Here is a 20,523-nt window from a genome sequence, read left to right as displayed (position 1 = left end):
GGTCTACCAACTCCTGATCTTGGGTGATCTGCCTGTCTTGGCCTCCCAAAGTGCCAGGATTACAGGCGCAAGCCACTGCGCACAGCCAGTGTCCCATTACTTTTATTTCTTGGAATCTATATGAAGAAAATAATCCTAAATATGGGAAAACTTTCATACACAACTTATGTGAATTGTAGCATTATTATTTAATAGTAAAAACTAGTAAGTAGCCAAAAATGCCTAACAATAGGTATATGATTAAATAAACTATGACATAATCAACTCCATGCATTAGATTTATTCAGACTATTATTAATAACCTAATAAAATACTTGGGATATATATTTAAATGAAAAAAGATACACATAAATACAAAATTTATATGTAGTATAAATATTAGCTGAATGTGGTAAGCTCATGCTTATAACTCTAGAGCTTTGGGAGGCCAAGGCAGGAGGATCACTTGAGGCCAGGAGTTTAAGACCAGAAACATAGGGAGACCCAGTCTCTATAAACAAATTTAAAAAATTAGCTGGGCATGGTGGCATGTGCCTGTAATATCAACTACTCAAGAGGCTGAGGTAGGAGGATTTTTTGAGCTGAGGAGTTTGAGGCTACAGTGAGCCATGATCACACCACTGCCCTCTGGCCTAGGTGACAGAGCAGGACCCTATGTCAAAAAAAAATTTAAGTTAAACATAGTATGTCCAACCAGGCTTAGTGGCTCATGCTTGTAATCCCAGCACTTTGGGAGGCTGAACTGGGAGGATCGCTTGAGCCCAGGGGTTCAAGACCAGCATGGGGAACATAGTGAGACCCCATCTCTATACAAAAATAAGCCAGGCATGGTGACACACACTTGTGGTCCCAGCTACTTGGGAGACTGAGGTGGGAATATCACTTGAGCCCAGGAAGTTGAGGCCGCTGTGAGTGAGCCATGATCACATCACTCAACTCTAGCTTCAGTGACAGAATGAGACCCTATCTCGAAAAAAAAAGGAAGGAGGCCGGGCACAGTGGCTCATGCCTGTAATCCCAGCACTTTGGGAGGCCAAGGCAGGTGGATCACTAGGTCAGGAGATCAAGACCATCCTGGCTAACACGGTGAAACCCTGTCTCTACTAAAAATACAAAAAAAATTAGCCAGGCGTGGTGGCGCATGCCTGTAGTCCCAGCTACTCGGGAGGCTGAGGCAGGAGGATGGCATGAACCTGGGAGGCGGAGCTTGCAGTGAGCCAAGATCACACCACTGCGCTCCACACTCCAGCCGGGGTGACAGAGCGAGACTCTGTCTCAAAAAAGGAAGGAAAAAAAAGAAAGGTATTAATTTTAAAATGAAAAAAAAGTCATTACAAATCCTATTCATTTTTTAAATCCTGCCTCAAATACTATCTCCTTCATACCCCATTCACTTAGAATTGTTTCTCTAATTCCTAAGCTTTGGCAATGCTTTATGAATTCTATTATAGTATTTTACACATATCCCTTGTGTTATAGCTATTTGTGCAAACCATGCCCCATTCACTAAAATGTAAACTTCTTCAAGGTAGGATAGTCTCTTGTTCATTTTTGCATCTTCATTTGGACACTGATTCAACAAACATGTATTGAGTACCTACCATGTGCCAAGCTAGGAACTAGCGATTGGAAATGAAAAATGCAGCTCTTCTACCGTCCCTCAAGGTACTCATAGTCTAATGGAGTGAAGGAAACAGGCAGGTGCATGTGTAGTCCATTGCAACTCAATGTGATAAATGCTAAAATCGAGGTGGCATAGGTTGCACTGGAGGCATAGAAGAACTTCGGCAGGTTATTTAACTTCTTTAATTTTAGTTTCATCAGCCTTCTTACAATGGAAGAGAGTTAGGGCCTTGCTCTGGATTAGGTTTTCGCTTAAGGGCATGTTGTGGCTAGTTTGCTCTTTTATCTAGGCCACTCAAATCATATCAGCAATAAGGCTGTTTCACTTTTTTTCTTTACTTTTTTCTTCTTTCTTTCTTTTTGTTGTTGTTGTTGTTGTTGTTGTTGTTGTTGAGACAGGTCTCACTTTGTCACCCAGGCTGGAGTGCAGTGGCACAATCTCAGCTCACTGCAACCTCCGCCTCCCTCCAAGTAGCTGAGACTACAGGCATGTGCCACCAGGCACGGGTAATTTCTGTATTTTTAGCTTGTTGCCCAGGCTGGTCTTGAACTCCTGAGCTCAAGTCATCTACCCGCCTGAGCTTCCCAAAGTGCTGGAATTACAGGCATGAGCCACTGCACCTGGCCTGTTGTTTTGCTTTCATTCATGTGTTCACTGGAGTAGCATTTTAATTTCCTCCAAGAGCTTTCCCTTTGCATTCACAACATGGCTAACTGGTTCAAGAAGTCTAGCTTTCAGCCTACCTTGGCTTTCACAAAGCATAATCATTTCTAGCTTTGATGTAAAATGAGAGATGTATAACTCTTCCTTTCACTTGAACACTTAGAAGCCACTGTAAGGTTGTTTTTTGTTTTTGTTTTTTGAGACAGTCTCCCTCTGTTGCCCAGGCTGGAGTACAGTGGTGCAATCTTGGCTCACTGAAACCTCTGCCTCCCAGGTTCTAAGCAATTCTCCTGCCTCAGCCTCCGGAGTAACTGGGATTACAGGCACGCACCACCACACCCTGCTAATTTTGTATTTTTAGTACAGACGGGGTTTCGCCATGTTGGCCAGGCTGGTCTCGAACTCTTGTCCTCAGGTGATCCACCTGCCTTGGCCTCCCAAAGTGCTAGGATTACAAGCGTGAGCCACCGCACCTGGCCCATTGTAAGGTTATTAATTGGCCTAATTTCAATATCATTGTGTCTCAGGGAAAAGGGAGGCCAGAGGAGAGAGAGAGAGATGGGGGAAGTGTCAGTTAGTGGAGCAGTCAGAACACACACCACTTATCAGTTAAGTTCACCATCTTATATGCACGTGGCTCATGGCACCCCAAGACAATTACAATAGTAATATTAAAGATCACTGATCCCAGCTTGGGCAACATAGCAAGACTCTGTCTCTACAGATAGTTTTTTTTTTTAATTACCCTGGCATGCTGGTGCATATTTGTGGTCCCAGCTACTTGGGAGGCTGAGGCAGGAGCGTGAGACCTGGAGGCTGAGGCTGCAGTGAGCTGCGATTGTGCCACTGCACAACAACCTGGATGACAGAGTGAGATCCTATCTCAAAAAAAAAAAAAAAATCACTGATCACAGATCACCATAACAGATTTGCTAATAATGAAAACAGTTGAAATATTATGAGAAATGCCAAAATGTGACACAGGGACACAAAGTGAGCACAGGCTGTTGGAAACATTGTGCCGATAGACTTGCTCCATGCAGGGTTGCCACAAACCTTCAATTTGTAAAATATGCAAAATTTGCAATGCACAATAAAGCAAAGCACAATAAAACAAGATTTGCTTGCACTTCTCAATACCTCTGCTGTTACCATTAGAGTTCAAGCCACCATCCATCTCCTGGTCTATTGCAATAATCTCATAACTGGTAGCTGCTTCCCTCTTGTTTGCTTGGAATCAATCCTCTACACAGTAACCAGAATTATCTTTTTAAAGCATAAAGTAGATTATGTTACCCTTCTACCCCAAACCCTCTAATGGCTTTCCTTCCCACTCAGAATAAAACCCATGACCTGTAAAGCATGACATTATCTGGCCTTAGCCTGCCTCTCCAACTACCTCTCCAACTACTCTCCCCTCTCTCACTCAGCTCCCAGCACATTAGCCTTTTGGCTATTTCTTGACACATCATGCTTATTTCTAGCCCTTTATCCAGGTCTTTGCCTCACTTGCATCTTTGCGCAAACATCCACTCAGCGAAGCTTTTCCCGACCATTCCACCTAAAATTGAGCCCTGTCTCTTAACACTCTGTATCCCTTATCCTGCTTTATTTTTCTTTATTGTACTAATCATATATATCATCAAGTATTTCTTCGTTTATCATATGTTTCTCCTCTAGAACCTAGGCTTTAGAAAGACTTTGTCTCTGTAATCCTAATGCCTAGAAGAGTGTCTGGCACAGCCTAAGAAGCCCAGGACTTCAGTCTATTACAAAGGAAACTGGCATTGATTTTAGAAGGAATAATAAGTTAGTAGCCTTATAATATGCAAGGAGAAGGTAGGGTGATCAACTTTCCCACTTTGCTAAGGGCTACGAGGCTTTCTGGGACATAGGACTTTCTTTTTAAAAACAGGACAGTCCCAGGCAAACTGGGACTGGTGATCACCCTAGAAGAACGCTATACATTTTTTTAAAAGTAGACGGACTCAGCCCGGCTCAGTGGCTCACGCCTGTAATCCCAGCACTTTGGGAGGCCGAGGTGGGAGGATCACCTGAGGTTGGGAGTTCGAGACCAGCCTGGCCAACATGGAGACACTCCATCTCTACTAAAAATACAAAATTATCCGGGCATGATGGCGCACGCCTGTAATCCCAGCTACTCAGGAGGCTGAGGCAGGAGAATCACTTGAACCTGGGAGGTGGAGGTTGCAGTGAGGCGAGGTTGTGCCATTGCACTCCAGCCTGGGCAACAAGAGTGAAACTCCGTCTCAAAAAAAAAAAAGTAGATGGACTCTACTTGAGTCCAATCTGATGTACTCATACCTGGATAATAATAAAAATAGCTACCTTCACTTAGTAAGCATTGGCTATATACCAAATATTGTGTGAGTACTTTAAATACATTCTCTCATTTAATTTTTAAAGTACTCTTATGAGATAGGCATTTAGTTAACAAACTCACCTAAAGTTGAACAGTTTGAGTGAAAGAGCTATAGAATTAATAAAAATATACAACTTGGTAAGTACCGAAATGAACATTTGGAGCAGATCTTGTATAATTCTGAAGGCAAGACTTTGTCCTCAGATACTTTATTTAGCTTAAGATTTTTTTTTTTTATCAGTTTCATTGTTTAAGGGAAGTTAGCAGGACTCAGTCAAAAAGAGGTCTGGGATCTTTTGCAAAACTGGGGGCAATTGATCTTGGTCGGTAAAACTGAGAAAAGTAAATTGTTTAGATGTTGAATGGGGTCTGGGATTCCTTGGTCTCACTGACTGAATTCATACTGCTAGTAACTAGACCCTCAATTCAATTTTCATACTAGAACTCAGGTCCAAATTCAGTTCACCTAAAATGATTTATTTTACCTATTATTTAATGCAGTGACCATAGTAGGATATAAATTACATGAGATCCTAGATGTACTGGTCTGAATTTCATTCCCCATATGACTTCACTCACAGAGATAACTGTAGGGATAGGCATAGATAAAAGTTAGAGTGGGCTTTGGAATAAAATAATCCTAGATTTGACCTCTGGCTTCACAATTTACTATCTATGTGACTTTTGGCAAGCTACTTTACCACTCTGCCCTTCTGTTTTTTTCTTTAGTAAAAGAAGATAATATTCACCTCACAGGATGATGATTAAATTAGATAATTTATGTTAATCTGTTTGGCAGAGTAAGTGCTAAATAAGTGGTGTCTATTAATATTAATAATAGCCTGGCCGGATTCTTGTTATTGCTTTTGCTTATCAAACTGGATATTAAAAGAGCATTGCTACAGCCTGGGCAACATAGTGAGACCTCTTCTTTACTAAAATAAAAAATTGGGCCAGGCGCAGTGGCTCACGCCTGTAATCCCAGCACTTTGGGAGGCTGAGGCGGGCAGATCACAAGGTCAGGAGATCGAGACCATCCTGGCTAACACGGTAAAACCCCATCTCTACTAAAAAATACAAAAAAATTAGCCAGGCGTGGTGGTGGGCGCCTGTAATTCCAGCTACTGAGGAGGCTGAGGCAGGAGAATGGCGTGAACCCGGGAGGCGGAGCTTGCAGTGAGCCGAGATTGTGCCACTACACTCCAGCCTGGGCCACAGAGCAAGACTCCATCACAAAAAAAAAAAAAAAAAAATTGGCCAAGCATGGTGGTATGCACATGTGGTCCTAGCTACTTGTAAGGCTGAGGCAGGAGGATTGCTTGAGCACAGGAGGTCGAAGCTGCAGTGAGCTGTGATTGCACCACCACACTCCAACCAGGGCAACACGGTGAGACTCTGTCAAAAACAAACAAACAAACAAAAAAACCCACTACAGCCAGTGGTTTATTAGAGGTGACGATGGAGTTTGAATTTTATTGTAAAGGCATGGAGAGCCATTGACAATTTCTAAGCAGTGGAGTGGCAATTAAGTGAAAGGAAGTAAAGAAAGGAGCTCATGAAAATGTTTGAGAAGGACTGACCAGAGAGAGATAAGAAAATCAGAACATAGTAGTGTCTTGAAGCCAAGAGACCAGTAAGGTGGGAGTAGACAAGTGTGTTAAATGGTACAGAGAGAAAAAAATAGGACCTGCAAAATGTCCAATGAGGGCTGATACATAGAATATTTAAGGCCTCTTAAAGCACAGTCCTTTTAAATGGTGTCATTTGTCTTCCAACAATAAACCAGCATTTCTTAGGTTCTCCACTGCATGCAAAAACACAAACTTTGAGTCCCTGAGCCAAAATTTCTAACAGCTTCCCTTTGCCTTTGTAATTGAAGTACATGTTCCTCCACCTGCTGTTCTAAGCTGTTCACAACATGGCCCCAAACCAGCTTTCTATCCTCTTTTTCCACTATTCTACTAAAGATATCCAGTTTTCCTTTCAACTAAATTTCTTACTGCTCTCCAGACACACTAGGCATTTTCTCAATTTCACACTTTTATTTGTATCCTAGAGCACTTAATGAATTTTGCCTTGTATGATATTTATATACCTACCACTATAAAATCTCAGAATGATAAAGAGCTTCAGAAATCATTCCTCTTACAAGGATTTTCTAAGTTTTTTCATCAGTCTTGGTAAAGTAAGAAAAATAAGAATATTTTGGTGACTTTTTCATTAATATAAATTTATTTACTCAAAAGACTATCCTTAAAATAGAGATTATGTCTTTGGATTTTTTGCTTTTGGTGTTAAAATGTATTTTCTTTTACAACATAATGGTGACAGTAAGTAGTATGGTTTTTATTTATTTTCTTTTTTTGAGACAGTCTCACTCTGTTGCCCAGGCTGGAGTGCACAGGCGCAATCTCGGCTTACTGCAACCTCTGCCTTGCCTCCCAGGTTCAAGCGATTCTCCTACCTCAGCCTCTCGAGTAGCTGGGACTACAGGCTCATGCTACCATGCCCAGCTAGTTTTTGTATTTTTAGTAGAGACGGGGTTTCACCATGTTGATCAGGCTGGTCTCGAACTCCTGACCTCAAATGATCTGCCCGTCTCTGCCTCCCAAAGTGCTGGGATTACAGGCTTGAGCCACCGTGCCCGACCAATAGTATGCTTTTTAAAAAAGATGACCATACAGCCGGGCGTGGTGGCTCACACCTGTAATCCCAACTCTTTGGGAGCCTGAGGCGGGTAGATCACTTGAGGTCAGGAGTTGGAGACCAGCCTGACCAACATGGAGAAACCCCATCTCTACTAAAAATACAAAATTAGCCGTCGTGGTGGCACATGCCTGCAGTCCTAGCTACTTGGGAGGCTGAGGCAGGAGAATCACTTGAACCCAGGAGATGGAGGCTGCGGTGAGCTGAGATTGCACCATTGCACTCCAGTCTGGGCAACAAGAGCGAAACTTCACCTCCAAAAAAAAAAAAAAGATGTCCATACATGCTAATTTTAAAATTGATAACTGTATATCTATCTGTAAAAACTTTTTGAACTCCTCTAAGTCCATTAAATCAAAAAGTGAAACACTGATCTACTCGAACCCTAATCCGACCCATGATTTTTCTCTGCAACATCTCTAACAAGTAGCCTCTGCTGCAGAGTAGGTAAGGAATACAGGTGCATGCCACCATGCCTGGCTAATTAAAAAAAAATTTTTTTTGTAGAATCAGGGACTTGCTATTTTGCCCAGGCTGCTCTCAAACTCTGGCCTCAAACAATCCTCCCACTTCAGCCTCTCAAAGCACTTGGATTACAAGTGTGAGCCACCATGCCTGGCTCATTTTTCAATAGCTTTAATTATGAGAAAGTCAGCTCCACTTCTAGATCAAAAAGCTCTTTCAGAGCTGCATTTTTGTTGTTTGCTTTAGAATTCCCTGCCCTATACCTTTTTCATAGTAGTCACTCAAAAATATTTCTTAATTGACATTCTCTAGAGGAATTTAAGTTTGATAGAAAATCATTACACATGATACTGTTATCAAAAAATTTAGAGATAAAGGCTTATAAAGGATACTAATACTCTTTCTTTAGAGAAGGCATATTTGCAAAGTAGGAGGATTAAAGGACTGGGATGGATCTTACTATAGTTTTCCTTAGGTATTAAGTCTATTCATCAATATAGCACTAAAGCTTTCCAAACCATTATTTTGAGTTACCTGAAATCCCTGGAGAAATTATTACCTTATTTCATTCTAATTTTGTTTTACGGCCTTTCATATGTAATCACTTATAGGAGAAAAACAATGAGATAAAAAGTTGATAACATGGTTTGATTGTACGCATTTGTAATTTTGTATTATTTCTTTTTCTAAAGCTGGGGCCACAACTTTGGTGAAGAAGGATATATTCGGATGGCAAGAAATAAAGGAAATCATTGTGGGATTGCTAGCTTTCCCTCTTACCCAGAAATCTAGAGGATCTCTCCTTTTTATAACAAATCAAGAAATATGAAGCACTTTCTCTTAACTTAATTTTTCCTGCTGTATCCAGAAGAAATAATTGTGTCATGATTAATGTGTATTTACTGTACTAATTAGAAAATATAGTTTGAGGCCGGGCACGGTGGCTCACGCCTGTAATCCCAGTACTTGGGAGGCCAAGGCAGGCATATCAACTTGAGGCCAGGAGTTAAAGAGCAGCCTGGCTAACATGGTGAAACCCCATCTCTACTAAAAATACAAAAAATTAGCCGAGCACGGTGGTGCATGCCTGTAATCCCAGCTACTTGGGAGGCTGAGGCACGAGATTCCTTGAACCCAAGAGGTTGAGGCTATGTTGAGCTGAGATCACACCACTGTACTCCAGCCTGGATGACAGAGTGGAGACTCTGTTTCAAAAAAACAGAAAAGAAAATATAGTTTGATTCTTCATTTTTTTAAATTTGCAAATCTCAGGATAAAGTTTGCTAAGTAAATTAGTAATGTACTATAGATATAACTGTACAAAAATTGTTCAACCTAAAACAATCTGTAATTGCTTATTGTTTTATTGTATACTCTTTGTCTTTTTAAGACCCCTAATAGCCTTTTGTAACTTGATGGCTTAAAAATACTTAATAAATCTGCCATTTCAAATTTCTATCATTGCCACATACCATTCTTATTCCTAGGCAACTATTAATAATCTATCCTGAGAATATTAATTGTGGTATTCTGGTGATGGGGTTTAGCAACTTTGATGGAAGAAAATATTAGGCTATAAATGTCCTAAGGACTCAGATTGTATCTTTGTACAGAAGAGGATTCAAAACGCCACGTGTAGTGGCTCATGCCTGTAATCCCAACACTTTGGGAGGCTGAAGTAGGAGGATCGTCTTGAGCCCAGGAGTTCAAGACCAGCCTGGACAACATAGTGAGACCTTGTCTCCACAAAAATAAAAAAGAAACTATCCAGGAGTGGTGGTGTGTGCCTGTGGTCCCTGCTATGCAGATGTCTAAGACAGGAGGATCACAAGAGCCCAGGAGGTTGAGAATGCAGTGAGCTTGTAATTGCACCACTGCACTCCAGCCTGGGTGACAGAGCAAGACCCTGTCTTAAAAAAAGAGGATTCAACACATATTTTTATATTATGTTAAAGTAAAGAAATGCATAAAAGACAAGCACTTTGGAAGAATTATTTTAATGATCAACAATTTAATGTATTAGTCCAAATTATTTTTACGTAGTCATCAACAATTTGACCAGGGCCTTTATTTGGCAAATAACTGAGCCAACCAGAATAAAATAACCAATACTCCACTGCTCATATTTTTATCTAATTCAGATGGATCTTCCTTACAACTGCTCTAGATTAGTAGATGCATCTAAGCAGGCAGCAGGAACTTTAAATTTTTTAAGTTCATGTCTATGACATGAACAATGTGTGGGATAATGTCATTAATATATCCTAAATTAACCTAAACGTATTTCACTAACTCTGGCTCCTTCTCCATAAAGCACATTTTAAGGAACAAGAATTGCTAAATATAAAAACATAAATAATACCATAATACATGGCTATCATCAAAAGTGTATAGAATATTATAGTTTAAAAGTATTTAGTTGATTACTTTTCAGTTTTGTTTTGTTTTTTGAGACGGAGTCTCACTCTGTTGCCCAGGCTGGAGTGCAGTGGCACCATCTCAGTTCACTGCAACTTCTGCCTCCCGAGTTCAAGCGATTCTCCTGCCTCAGCCTCCCGAGTAGCTGGAATTATAGGCGTGCACCACCACGCCCAGCTAATTTTTGTATTTTTAGTAAAGACAGGGTTTTGCCACATTAGCCAGGCTGGTCTCAAACTCCTGACCTCAGGTGATCCACCCACCCCAGCCTCCCAAAGTGCTAAGATTACAGGCGTGAGCCACTGAGCCCAGCCTACTTTTCAGTTTTTAACATAATTTTTGTTTTATCCACAACTTTTCAAGTATTGAAAGTAGAATAAAAACATGGGTTCTTAGTCTTTAGCTATCTGTTAAAGCCTATGAATGCCTTCTTAAAATCATGTTTTTAAATGCATAAAATATATAGGATTACAAAGGAATCTAATTATATCGAAATACAGTTATTAAAATGTTAAAAGATAAGTTTGTTATATATTAATATGCATGCTTCTTTATAAATGCATTAAATAAGAGTTAATAGCTATCCTAAATTTGAAATAGTGATAAGCATAATGAAAATAGATGCAAAAAACTAATGTGATATGAAAATATCTGGGTTTTTCTTTTGATGATGAAGTATTGCTAATATTACCGTGGTTTATGAACTATGTTCAGAATTGAAGAAAATCCTAACTTTCAGTTAGAGGTTAGTGACGGGGTTCAGGACACCCTACACAAAATACAGCACTTTGACATATTGAATATTTTAAGCTGAAGGCATTTGAGGAAATTGCAGAAGCAGGAAGGTGACTCTGACCTTCTGCCTGCTGTTCTCCCCAGAAGCAGCCATAAAACCTGGGAAGGATTTTCTGACCTTCCCCTGAAGTAGATCATAAGACTGTCATGTAAGAGGTGCTCTCCTGGCACCCAGAGAAAAGGAGCATCCTTACCTCCAAAAGCACAGGGACACAAAGAGGAATCTAAACAAACAGGCCTCTCAGTTTCCCCCAGTTTATTACATTTAGCTTGTTCACACTTTGCCCTATGACATTTCTACATCACTGGCTGCTCTTCATCAAACCTACTATAAAAAACATTCAAGTTCAACTGTTTCTTTGGGCCTTTATTTCCTTATGGAGCCCCTCGTGTCGTGTAAAACTTATATTAAATAAATGTGCATGCTTTTCTCTTGCTAATCTCTCTTTTGTTATAGAGATCTCAGCCCTAAACCTAGGATGGATAGAAGGAAACATATGTTCTCCCCTACATTAGTAAAAATAAAAATGGAATTTTTTACCCATACAAATTCATAAATTCCCTGAATTCTATCCAAGGAGACTTTGAGAGTTGTGGCTCTCAAGTAAAGAATGCCTGAACTGCTCTCCCTCCCCCTCCCCCTCCCCCTCCCCCTCTCCCCACGGTCTCCCTCTCATGCGGAGCCGAAGCTGGACTGTACTGCTGCCATCTCGGCTCACTGCAACCTCCCTGCCTGATTCTCCTGCCTCAGCCTGACCAGTGCCTGCGATTGCAGCCTCGCGCCACCACGCCTGACTGGTTTTGGTGGAGACGGGGTTTCGCTGTGTTGGCCGGGCGGGTCTCCAGCCCCTAACCACGAGTGATCCGCCAACCTCGGCCTCCCAAGGTGCGGGGATTGCAGACGGAGTCTCGTTCACTCAGTGCTCAATGGTGCCCAGGCTGGAGTGCAGTGGCGTGATCTCGGCTCACTACAACCTACACCTCCCAGCCGCCTGCCTTGGCCTCCCAAAGTGCTGAGATTGCAGCCTCTGCCCGGCTGCCACCCTGTCTGGGAAGTGAGGAGTGTCTCTGCCTGGCCGCCCATCGTCTGGGATGTGAGGAGCCCCTCTGCCTGGCTGCCCAGTCTGGAAAGTGAGGAGCGTCTCCGCCCGGCCGCCATCCCATCTAGGAAGTGAGGAGGCCTCTTCCCAGCCGCCATCACATCTAGGAAGTGAGGAGCGTCTCTGCCCGGCCGCCCATCGTCTGAGATGTGGGGAGCGCCTCTGCCCCGCCGCCCCATCTGGGATGTGAGGAGCGCCTCTGCCCGGCCGAGACCCTGTCTGGGAGGTGAGGAGCGTCTCTGCCCGGCCGCCCCGTCTGAGAAGTGAGGAGACCCTCTGCCTGGCAACCACCCCGTCTGAGAAGTGAGGAGCCCCTCCGCCCGGCAGCTGCCCCGTCTGAGAAGTGAGGAGCCTCTCCGCCCGGCAGCCACCCGATCTGGGAAGTGAGGAGCGTCTCCGCCCGGCAGCCACCCCGTCCGGGAGGGAGGTGGGGGGGGGTGTCAGCCCCCCGCCCGGCCAGCCGCCCCATCCGGGAGGGAGGTGGGGGGGGTCAGCCCCCCGCCCGGCCAGCCGCCCTGTCCGGGAGGCAGGTGGGGGGGTCAGCCCCCCGCCCGGCCAGCCGCCCCGTCCGGGAGGTGAGGGGCGCCTCTGCCCGGCCGCCCCTACTGGGAAGTGAGGAGCCCCTCAGCCCGGCCAGCCACCCCGTCCGGGAGGGAGATGTGGGGGTCAGCCCCCCCACCCGGCCAGCCGCCCCATCCGGGAGGGAGGTGGGGGGGTCAGCCCCCCGCCTGGCCAGCCGCCCCGTCCGGGAGGGAGGTGGGGGGGTGAGCCCTCCGCCCGGCCAGCCGCCCCGTCTGGGAGGTGAGGGGCGCCTCTGCCCGGCCGCCCCTACTGGGAAGTGAGGAGCCCCTCTGCCCGGCCAGCCGCCCCGTCCGGGAGGGAGGTGGGGGGGTCGGCCCCCCGCCCGGCCAGCCGCCCCGTCCGGGAGGGAGGTGGGGGGGGTCAGCCCCCCTGCCCAGCCAGCCACCCCGTCCGGGAGGTGAGGGGCGCCTCTGCCCGGCCGCCCCTACTGGGAAGTGAGGAGCCCCTCTGCCCGGCCACCACCCCGTCTGGGAGGTGTTCCCAACAGCTCATTGAGAACGGGCCAGGATGACAATGGCGGCTTTGTGGAATAGAAAGGCGGGAAAGGTGGGGAAAAGATTGAGAAATCGGATAGTTGCCGTGTCTGTGTAGAAAGAAGTAGACATGGGAGACTTTTCATTTTGTTCTGCACTAAGAAAAATTCCTCTGCCTTGGGATCCTGTTGATCTGTGACCTTACCCCCAACCCTGTGCTCTCTGAAACATGTGCTGTGTCCACTCAGGGTTAAATGGATTAAGGGCGGTGCAAGATGTGCTTTGTTAAACAGATGCTTGAAGGCAGCATGCTCGTTAAGAGTCATCACCAATCCCTAATCTCAAGTAATCAGGGACACAAACACTGCGGAAGGCCGCAGGGTCCTCTGCCTAGGAAAACCAGAGTCCTTTGTTCACTTGTTTATCTGCTGACCTTCCCTCCACTATTGTCCCATGACCCTGCCAAATCCCCCTCTGTGAGAAACACCCAAGAATTATCAATAAAAAAATAAATTAAAAAAAAAAAAAAAAAGAATGCCTGAACTAAGCAAGTAGAATAATGAAATACTTTTTAAAAACTTCACTGTATGCCCAATATAAAGGGAAATTATTAACAATAAGTAATTTCAAACTTATAGAGATAAAAAATTATCTAAAAATATAAATTTAAAACAAAAACATTTAGAATTTATTCTGGAACAATTTCTAGACAGTAGTATGCAAGATGACTTGAAGAAAATTTTTTTAAAAGCCAGGTGCAGTGGCTCACACCTGTAATCCCAGCACTGTGGGAGGCTGAGGTGGGAGGATCGCTTGAGCCAGAAGTTCAAGAGGCTGGTCTCAAACTCCTGGGCGCAAGTGATCCTCCTGCCTCTTGTTATGAGCACATAAAAAGATCTCCATCTCTACAAAAAATAAAAAAGTTAGCCAGGTGTGGTGGTATGTGCCTATAGTCCCAGCTACCAGGGGAAAGGCTGAGGTGGGAGGATCACTTGAGCCCAGGAGATTGAGGCTGCAGTGAGCCATGATAGCGCCATTGCACTCCAGCCTGGGTGACCTTGTTTCAAAATAAATAAATTGGCAAATAATAAAATAAATAAAATTTTAAAATGAGACAACCTAGGCCGGGCGTGGTGGCTTACGCCTGTAATCCCAGCACTTTGGGAGGCCGAGGCAGGCAGATCACTTGAGGTCAGGAGTTGGAGACCAGCCTGGCCAACACAGTGAAACCCCGCCTCTACTAAAAATACAAAAATTAGCTGGGCATGGTGGTGGGTGCCTGTAATCCCAGCTACTTGAGAGGCTGAGACAGGAGAATTGCTTGAACTCAGGAGGTGGAGGTTGCAGTGAGCCGAGATCATGCCATTGCACTCCAGCCTGGGCAACAAGAACGAAACTCTGTCTCAAGAAAAAAAAAGAGACAATCTAAAAGATATTCTAGTAGTCTATATGTGTGGTGATAAAGCCCTAAACTAAATACATCATTTCTGAAAACAGCAAAAAAATAAAAAATAAAGCAAATCTGGGAGCCATCACAGAGTAAAAGTTGACAGAATTTTAAACTGTATAATAAAAGTAAAGAAACGGTGCTTGCTTTGGCAGCACATATACTCAAATTTGAATGATACAGAGAAGATTAGCCAAAAAATTTGAAAAATTATATTAAAAAAAGAAACAAGAAGATTTAAATATTCCAGAACTAGGCATCCATGAGACAATGCCATTAAAACATATAACATAAATGTGACAGATACTTAGTATTTCCTTTCTCTTTTCTTTTTTCCTTTCTTATCTTTTTTTTTTTTTTTTTGAGACAGGGTCTCACTCTGTCACTCAGGCTGGAGTGCAGTGATGCCATCACTGCTCACTGCAGCCTTGAACTCCTGAACTTAAGCTATTTTCTCACCTCACACACCTTCCCCACCCCTCCAGTAGCTGGGACTAGAGGTGCAAGCCACCATTTCTGGCTTATTTGTGTGTGTGTGTGTGTGTGTGTGTGTGTGTGTGTGTGTGTGTGTGTGTAGAGATGGGAGTCTCATTATGTTGCCCAGGCTGGTCTCCAACTCTTGGCCTCAAGTGATCCTCCCACTTTGGTCTCCCAAAGTACTGGGATTACAGGCATAAGACTTACTATTTCTTTGAATCAAATTATTATTTTTTGACTCTTCTCTTCTAGATGAGAATCTTGATGATGCTTCAAGTATGCATACTCTAAGTTACCAGAAAGACTATAAATCAGAACATGTAATAAAGGGGGCCGGGCGTGGTGGCTCATGCCTGTAATCCCAGCACTTTGGGAGGCCAAGGCAAGCCGATCACCTGAGGTCAGGAGTTCGAGGCTAGCCTGGCCAACATGGCAAAATGCCACCTTTACTAAAAATACAAAAATTAGCCTGGCGTGGTGGTGGACGCCTGTAACCCCAGTTACTTCAGAGGCTGAGGCAGGAGAATTGCTTGAACCCAGGAAGGGGAGGTTGCAGTGAGTCGAGATCACGCCACTGCATTCCAGTCTGGGTGACAGAGCAAGACTCTGTCTCAAAAAAAATGAAAAAAAATGAAAATAGGCCTGGCATAGTAGTTCATGCCTGAAACACTTTGGGAGGCTAAGGCAGGAGTATTACTTGAGGCCAGTAGTTCAAGATCAGTCTACACAACATAGCAAGACCCTGACTCTACAAAAAAATTAAAAAGTAGCCGAGAGTTGTGGCACACACCTGCGGTCCTAGTTGTTACAGAGGCTGAGGAGGGAGGATTGCTTGAGCCAGGAGTTTGAGGCTGCAGTGAGGTATGATTGCATCACTGCACTCCAGCCTGGGAGACTGAAAGAGACCTTGCCTCTAAAGAAAAAAAAGTGGCTGGGCACAGTGGCTCATGCCTGTAATCCCAGCATTTTGGGAGTCCAAGGTGGGCAAATCACCTGAGGTCAGGAGTTCAAGACCAGTCTGGCCAACATGGTGAAACCCCATCTCTACTAAAAATACAAAAATTAGTTGGATGTGGTGGTGCGTGCCTGTGATCCCAGCTACTGGGGAGGCTGAGGCAGGAGAATCCCTTGAACCCAGGAGGTGGAGGTTGCAGTGAGCCAAGATTATGCCACTGCACTCCAGCTTGGGCAAAAGAGTGAGACTCCGTCTCAAAAAACAACAACAACAACAACAACAAAAAAAAACACACAAAACAGTGACTTAATTATAATTCAAAATAATTATTAGACCAAGATTTTCACTATTTTTAACCCTAATAACAAGGTTCTAGTCTTCATTTCTCTCCTAGTTGAATGACTTTGGGCAAATCTTTTCATATCTAGTGGCTGTTTTCTCCTTTGTAATGAAGATATGTCAAAGTTTATGAGTACAGGCTTATCTTGTTTTATTGTGCTTTGCTTTATTGTGCTTTGCAGATATTGCATTTTTTTTACAAATTGCAGGTTTGTAGCAACCCAGAATCAAGTAAGTCTGTCAGTGCCGTTTCCCAACAGCATATGCTTACTTCATGTCTTTGTGTCACATTTTGGTAATTCTTGCAATATTTTAAACTTTTTCATTATTATTATTATCTACTATGGTGATCTGTGATCAGTGATCTTTGATGTTACTATGATAATTGTCATAGGATGTCAAAAGCCGCACCCATGTAAAATGGCAAATATAATCAATAAATGTGTGTGTTCTAACTGCTCCATTTACTGGCTGTGTCCCCATCTCTCTCCCTCTCCTTGGGCCTCCCTATTTTCTAAGACACAGCAATATTTAAATTAGGTCAATTCATAACCCTACAATGTTGTCTATGTGTTCAAGTGAAAGAAAGAGTTGCATGCCTCTCACTTAAACGCTGAAAATGATTAAGCTTAGTGAGGAAGGCATGCCAAAAGCCAAGATAGGCTGAAAGGCCTCTTGTGCCAAATAGTTCACCAAGTTGTGAATGTAAAGGGAAAGTTCTTGGAGGAAATTACAAGTGCTACTCCAGTGAACACATGAATGATAAGAAAGTGAAGCAGCTTTATTGGTGATATGCAGAAAGTTTGAGTGGTCTGGATAGAAGATTGAGCCAGCCACAACATGCTCTTAAACCGAAGTCTAATCCAGAGCAAGGCCCTAACTCCTCAATTCTAGAAAGGCTGACAGAGATGCAGAAGCTGCAGAAGCTGCAGAAGAAAAGTCTGAAGCTAGCAGATGTTGGTTCATGAGGTTTCAAGGATGAAGCCATTCTCCATAACACAAAAGTGCTGAGATCGTGCCACTGCACTCCAGCCTGGGCGACAGAGTGAGACTCCGTCTCAAAAAAAAAAAAAAAAAAAAAAAAAAGTGCAAGGTGGAGCATCAAGGGCTGATGTGGAAGCTGCAGCAAGTTATCCAGAAGATCTAGCTAAGATAACTGATGCAGGTGGCTATACTAAACAGCACATTTTCCACGTAGGTGAAACAGCTTTGTGGAAGAAGATTCCACTGAAAACTTTCATAGCTAGAGAAGAGAAATTAATGCCTTCAAAGCTTTAAAGGACAGGATGAATTTCTCATACGAGGATAATGCAGCTGGTGACTTACATTTGAAGCCAGTGCTCCCTTAACATTCTGCAAATTCTAGGGCCGTTAAGAATTATACTAAATCTACTCTGCCTGTGATCTATAAATGGAACAACAAAGCCTGGATGACACCACATCTGCTTACAACATAGTTCACTGGATATTTTAAGCACATGGTTGAGACCTACTGCTGCTTAGAAAAAAAGATTCCTTTCAACATATTACTGCTCATTGTCAATGCACTTGGTCACTCAAGAGCTCTAATGGAGGTGAACATGGAGATTAATGTTGTTTTCGTGTCTGCTAACAAAAAGACCATTCTGCAGCCCATGGATCAAGAAGTAATTTTGACTTTCAAGCCTTATAAGTTAAGAAACACATTTTGTAAGGGCTGTAGCTGCCATAGTGATTCCTCTGATGGATGTAGGCAAAGAAAATTGAAAACCTTCTGGAAAGGCGTCACTATTCTCGATGCCATTAAGAATATTTGTGATTCATAGGAGGAGGTCAAAATATCAACATTAGCAGCAGTTTAGAAGAAGTTATTCCAATCCTCATGGATGACTTTGAGAAGTTCGAGACTGCCATGGAGGAAGCAACTGCAGATGTGGAAATAGCAAGAGTACCAGAATTGGAAGTAGAACCTGAAGATGAGAAGATGGGACTGAATTGCTACAATCTCATGACAAAATTTGAACTGCTGAGGAATTGCTTCTTTTTTTTTTTTTTTAAGTTAGTGTCTTGCTCTGTTGTCCAGGCTGGAGTACAGTGGCGTGATTTCAGCTCACTGTAACCTCAGCCTCCTGGGTTCAAGCGATTCTCCCACCTCAGCCTCCCTAGTAGCTGGGATTACAGGCGTGCTATCATGCCTGGCTAATTTTTGTATTTTTAGTAGAGACAGGGTTTCACCATATTGGCCAGGCTAGTCTCAAACTCCTGACTTCGTGATCCACCCGCCTCAGCCTCCCAAAGTGCTGGAATTGCTTCTTATGGATGATTGAGGAAAGTGATTTATTGAGATGGAATCGATGGAATCTACTCCTGGTGAAGATGCTGAGAACAAGATTGAAATGGTAACAAAGGATTTAGAATGTTACATAAACTTAGTTGACAAAGTAGCAGCAGGGTTTGAAAGGACTGACTCCAATTCTGAAGGAATTTCTACTGTGGGTAAAATGCTGTAAAACAGCATCACATGCTACAGAGAAATCTTTTATAAAAGGAAGAGTCAATCGATGTGGTGAATGTCATTGTTGTCCTAATTTAAGAAATTGCCACAGACACCCCAACATGCAGCAAACACCTCCCTGATCAGTCAGCAGCCATTAACATCAAGGCAAGGCCCTCCACCGGCAAAAAGATGATTGTTCAGATGATCATTAGCATTTTTTAGGAATAAAGTATTTTAAAATTAAAGTATGTGCATTGTGTTTCTAGACATTATGCTCCTGCACACTTAACAGACTACAGAAAGCATAAGATATGTACAATAAATATATTAAGGGCTGGGCGCAGTGGCTCATGCCTGTAATCCCAGCACTTTGGGAGGCCAAGGCGGGCAGATCACGAGGTCAGGAGATCAAGACCATCCTGGCTAACACGGTGAAACCCTGTCTCTACTAAAAATACAAAAAAATTAGCCGGGTGTGGTGGCGGGCGCCTGTAGTCCCAGCTACTTGGGAGGCTGAGGCAGGAGAATGGTGTGAACCCAGGAGGTGGAGCTTGCAGTGAGCCGAGATCGCACCACTGCACTCCAGCCTGGGCGACAGACAGAGCAAGACTCCGTCTCAAAAAAAAAAATTTATATATATATATTAAGATATTAATAGTGTAACCATAATTTTTTTTTTTTGAAACAAGTCTCACTGCCGCCTAGGCAGGAGTGCAGTGGCTCAAACAGGGCTCACTGCCACTGCAAACTCCTGGGCTCAAGGGATCCTCCTGCCTAAGCCTCCTGAGTAGCTGAGACTACAGGTGTGTGCCACAACCTCTGCCTAATTTTTTTTATTTTTTGTAGAGACAGGGTCTCACTTTGTTGCCCAAGCTGATCCCCAATTTCTGGCCTCAAGCAATTGTTCCGCCTCAGCCTCCCAAAGTGCTGGGATTATTGGCATGAGCCACCACATCTAGCCAACATAACTTTTATACACATGGAAAACTAAAAAATTGTGTAATTTGCTTTATTATGTTGTTTGCTTTATTGGAGGGTCTGGAACTGAACTTGCAATATCTCCAAGGTATGCCTGTAATTGAATGTTTACACTGGTAAGAAATGTATTTGGATATATAATAATCTGTAAACTAAGAAGCTTGTACTACTGAATAATCTCCAACTATTAATACCTACCCACTCTGATTTTATTTTGTTTCTAAATGAGACAAATTACATTCAAAGCTATCCATTGTCCCCAATGACATAACACAGTGGAAGTGGCTAAGTAGAAGACTGCTAAAGCAAATGGTTTCCTGAAGATACAGGAGATTGGAAGGTGGGAATGCAATTTGTGGTAGTTCCAATGAGAAAATCAAAAGTCAGCCGGGTGTGGTGGCTCACGCCTGTAATCCCAGCACTTTGGGAGGCCGAGGGAGGCAGGTCACCTGAGGTCGGGAGTTTGAGACCAGCTTGGCCAACATGGCAAAACCCCGTCTCTACTAAAAATACAAAAATTAGCTGGGCATGGTGGCGGACGCCTGTAATCCCAGCTACTTGGGAGGCTGAGGCAGGAGAATTGCTTGAACCCTGGAGGCAGAGGTTGCAGTGAGCCAAGATCATGCCACTGCACTTCAGCCT

At 43.5% G+C, this 20,523-nt stretch overlaps 1 protein-coding gene across 2 annotated transcripts in view, besides 9 other annotated features; it reads left to right on the top strand.

The window, feature by feature from the left end:
- The window catches only part of CTSS (cathepsin S), a 35,591-nt gene extending 24,100 nt beyond the window's left edge, over positions 1-11,491 (top strand). For both annotated transcript variants that reach the window (NM_001199739.2, NM_004079.5), the window contains one exon: positions 8,534-11,491. In NM_001199739.2, the coding sequence (NP_001186668.1) occupies positions 8,534-8,633 (100 nt within the window). In that variant the 3' untranslated portion in view covers positions 8,634-11,491. The remainder of the gene's footprint in view (positions 1-8,533) is intronic.
- Positions 4,360-4,504: an enhancer, noted in NCBI's record as "145 bp 1:150709723 sequence used in MPRA reporter constructs". NCBI's record gives its function as "activates a minimal TATA-containing promoter with rs6587520 allelic activity by MPRAs in UACC903 melanoma cells {active_cell/tissue: UACC903}" and the evidence as "EXISTENCE:reporter gene assay evidence [ECO:0000049][PMID:36423637]".
- Position 4,432: a transcriptional cis regulatory region, noted in NCBI's record as "rs6587520 or 1:150709723 MPRA-significant variant associated with a GWAS melanoma risk locus at 1q21.3". NCBI's record gives its function as "allelic transcriptional activity by MPRAs in UACC903 melanoma cells {active_cell/tissue: UACC903}" and the evidence as "EXISTENCE:reporter gene assay evidence [ECO:0000049][PMID:36423637]".
- Positions 6,487-6,631: an enhancer, noted in NCBI's record as "145 bp 1:150707596 sequence used in MPRA reporter constructs". NCBI's record gives its function as "activates a minimal TATA-containing promoter with rs7521898 allelic activity by MPRAs in C283T melanocytes {active_cell/tissue: C283T}" and the evidence as "EXISTENCE:reporter gene assay evidence [ECO:0000049][PMID:36423637]".
- Position 6,559: a transcriptional cis regulatory region, noted in NCBI's record as "rs7521898 or 1:150707596 MPRA-significant variant associated with a GWAS melanoma risk locus at 1q21.3". NCBI's record gives its function as "allelic transcriptional activity by MPRAs in C283T melanocytes {active_cell/tissue: C283T}" and the evidence as "EXISTENCE:reporter gene assay evidence [ECO:0000049][PMID:36423637]".
- Positions 10,714-10,858: an enhancer, noted in NCBI's record as "145 bp 1:150703366 sequence used in MPRA reporter constructs". NCBI's record gives its function as "activates a minimal TATA-containing promoter with 1:150703366 allelic activity by MPRAs in C283T melanocytes {active_cell/tissue: C283T}" and the evidence as "EXISTENCE:reporter gene assay evidence [ECO:0000049][PMID:36423637]".
- Position 10,789: a transcriptional cis regulatory region, noted in NCBI's record as "1:150703366 MPRA-significant variant associated with a GWAS melanoma risk locus at 1q21.3". NCBI's record gives its function as "allelic transcriptional activity by MPRAs in C283T melanocytes {active_cell/tissue: C283T}" and the evidence as "EXISTENCE:reporter gene assay evidence [ECO:0000049][PMID:36423637]".
- Positions 11,047-11,191: an enhancer, noted in NCBI's record as "145 bp 1:150703034 sequence used in MPRA reporter constructs". NCBI's record gives its function as "activates a minimal TATA-containing promoter with rs55960943 allelic activity by MPRAs in C283T melanocytes {active_cell/tissue: C283T}" and the evidence as "EXISTENCE:reporter gene assay evidence [ECO:0000049][PMID:36423637]".
- Positions 11,116-11,120: a transcriptional cis regulatory region, noted in NCBI's record as "rs55960943 or 1:150703034 MPRA-significant variant associated with a GWAS melanoma risk locus at 1q21.3". NCBI's record gives its function as "allelic transcriptional activity by MPRAs in C283T melanocytes {active_cell/tissue: C283T}" and the evidence as "EXISTENCE:reporter gene assay evidence [ECO:0000049][PMID:36423637]".
- Positions 12,629-13,394: an enhancer, noted in NCBI's record as "NANOG-H3K27ac-H3K4me1 hESC enhancer chr1:150700761-150701526 (GRCh37/hg19 assembly coordinates)". NCBI's record gives its function as "activates a minimal SCP1, AML or CMV promoter by ChIP-STARR-seq in primed H9 embryonic stem cells {active_cell/tissue: H9 hESC(primed)}" and the evidence as "EXISTENCE:reporter gene assay evidence [ECO:0000049][PMID:30033119]".

This window comes from Homo sapiens, chromosome 1 (assembly GCF_000001405.40).
Source record: "Homo sapiens chromosome 1, GRCh38.p14 Primary Assembly".
Taxonomy (NCBI): Eukaryota; Metazoa; Chordata; class Mammalia; order Primates; family Hominidae; genus Homo; species Homo sapiens.
The sequence above is the reverse complement of the archived record's forward strand: the minus strand, read 5'-3'. Positions and strand labels throughout refer to the sequence as shown.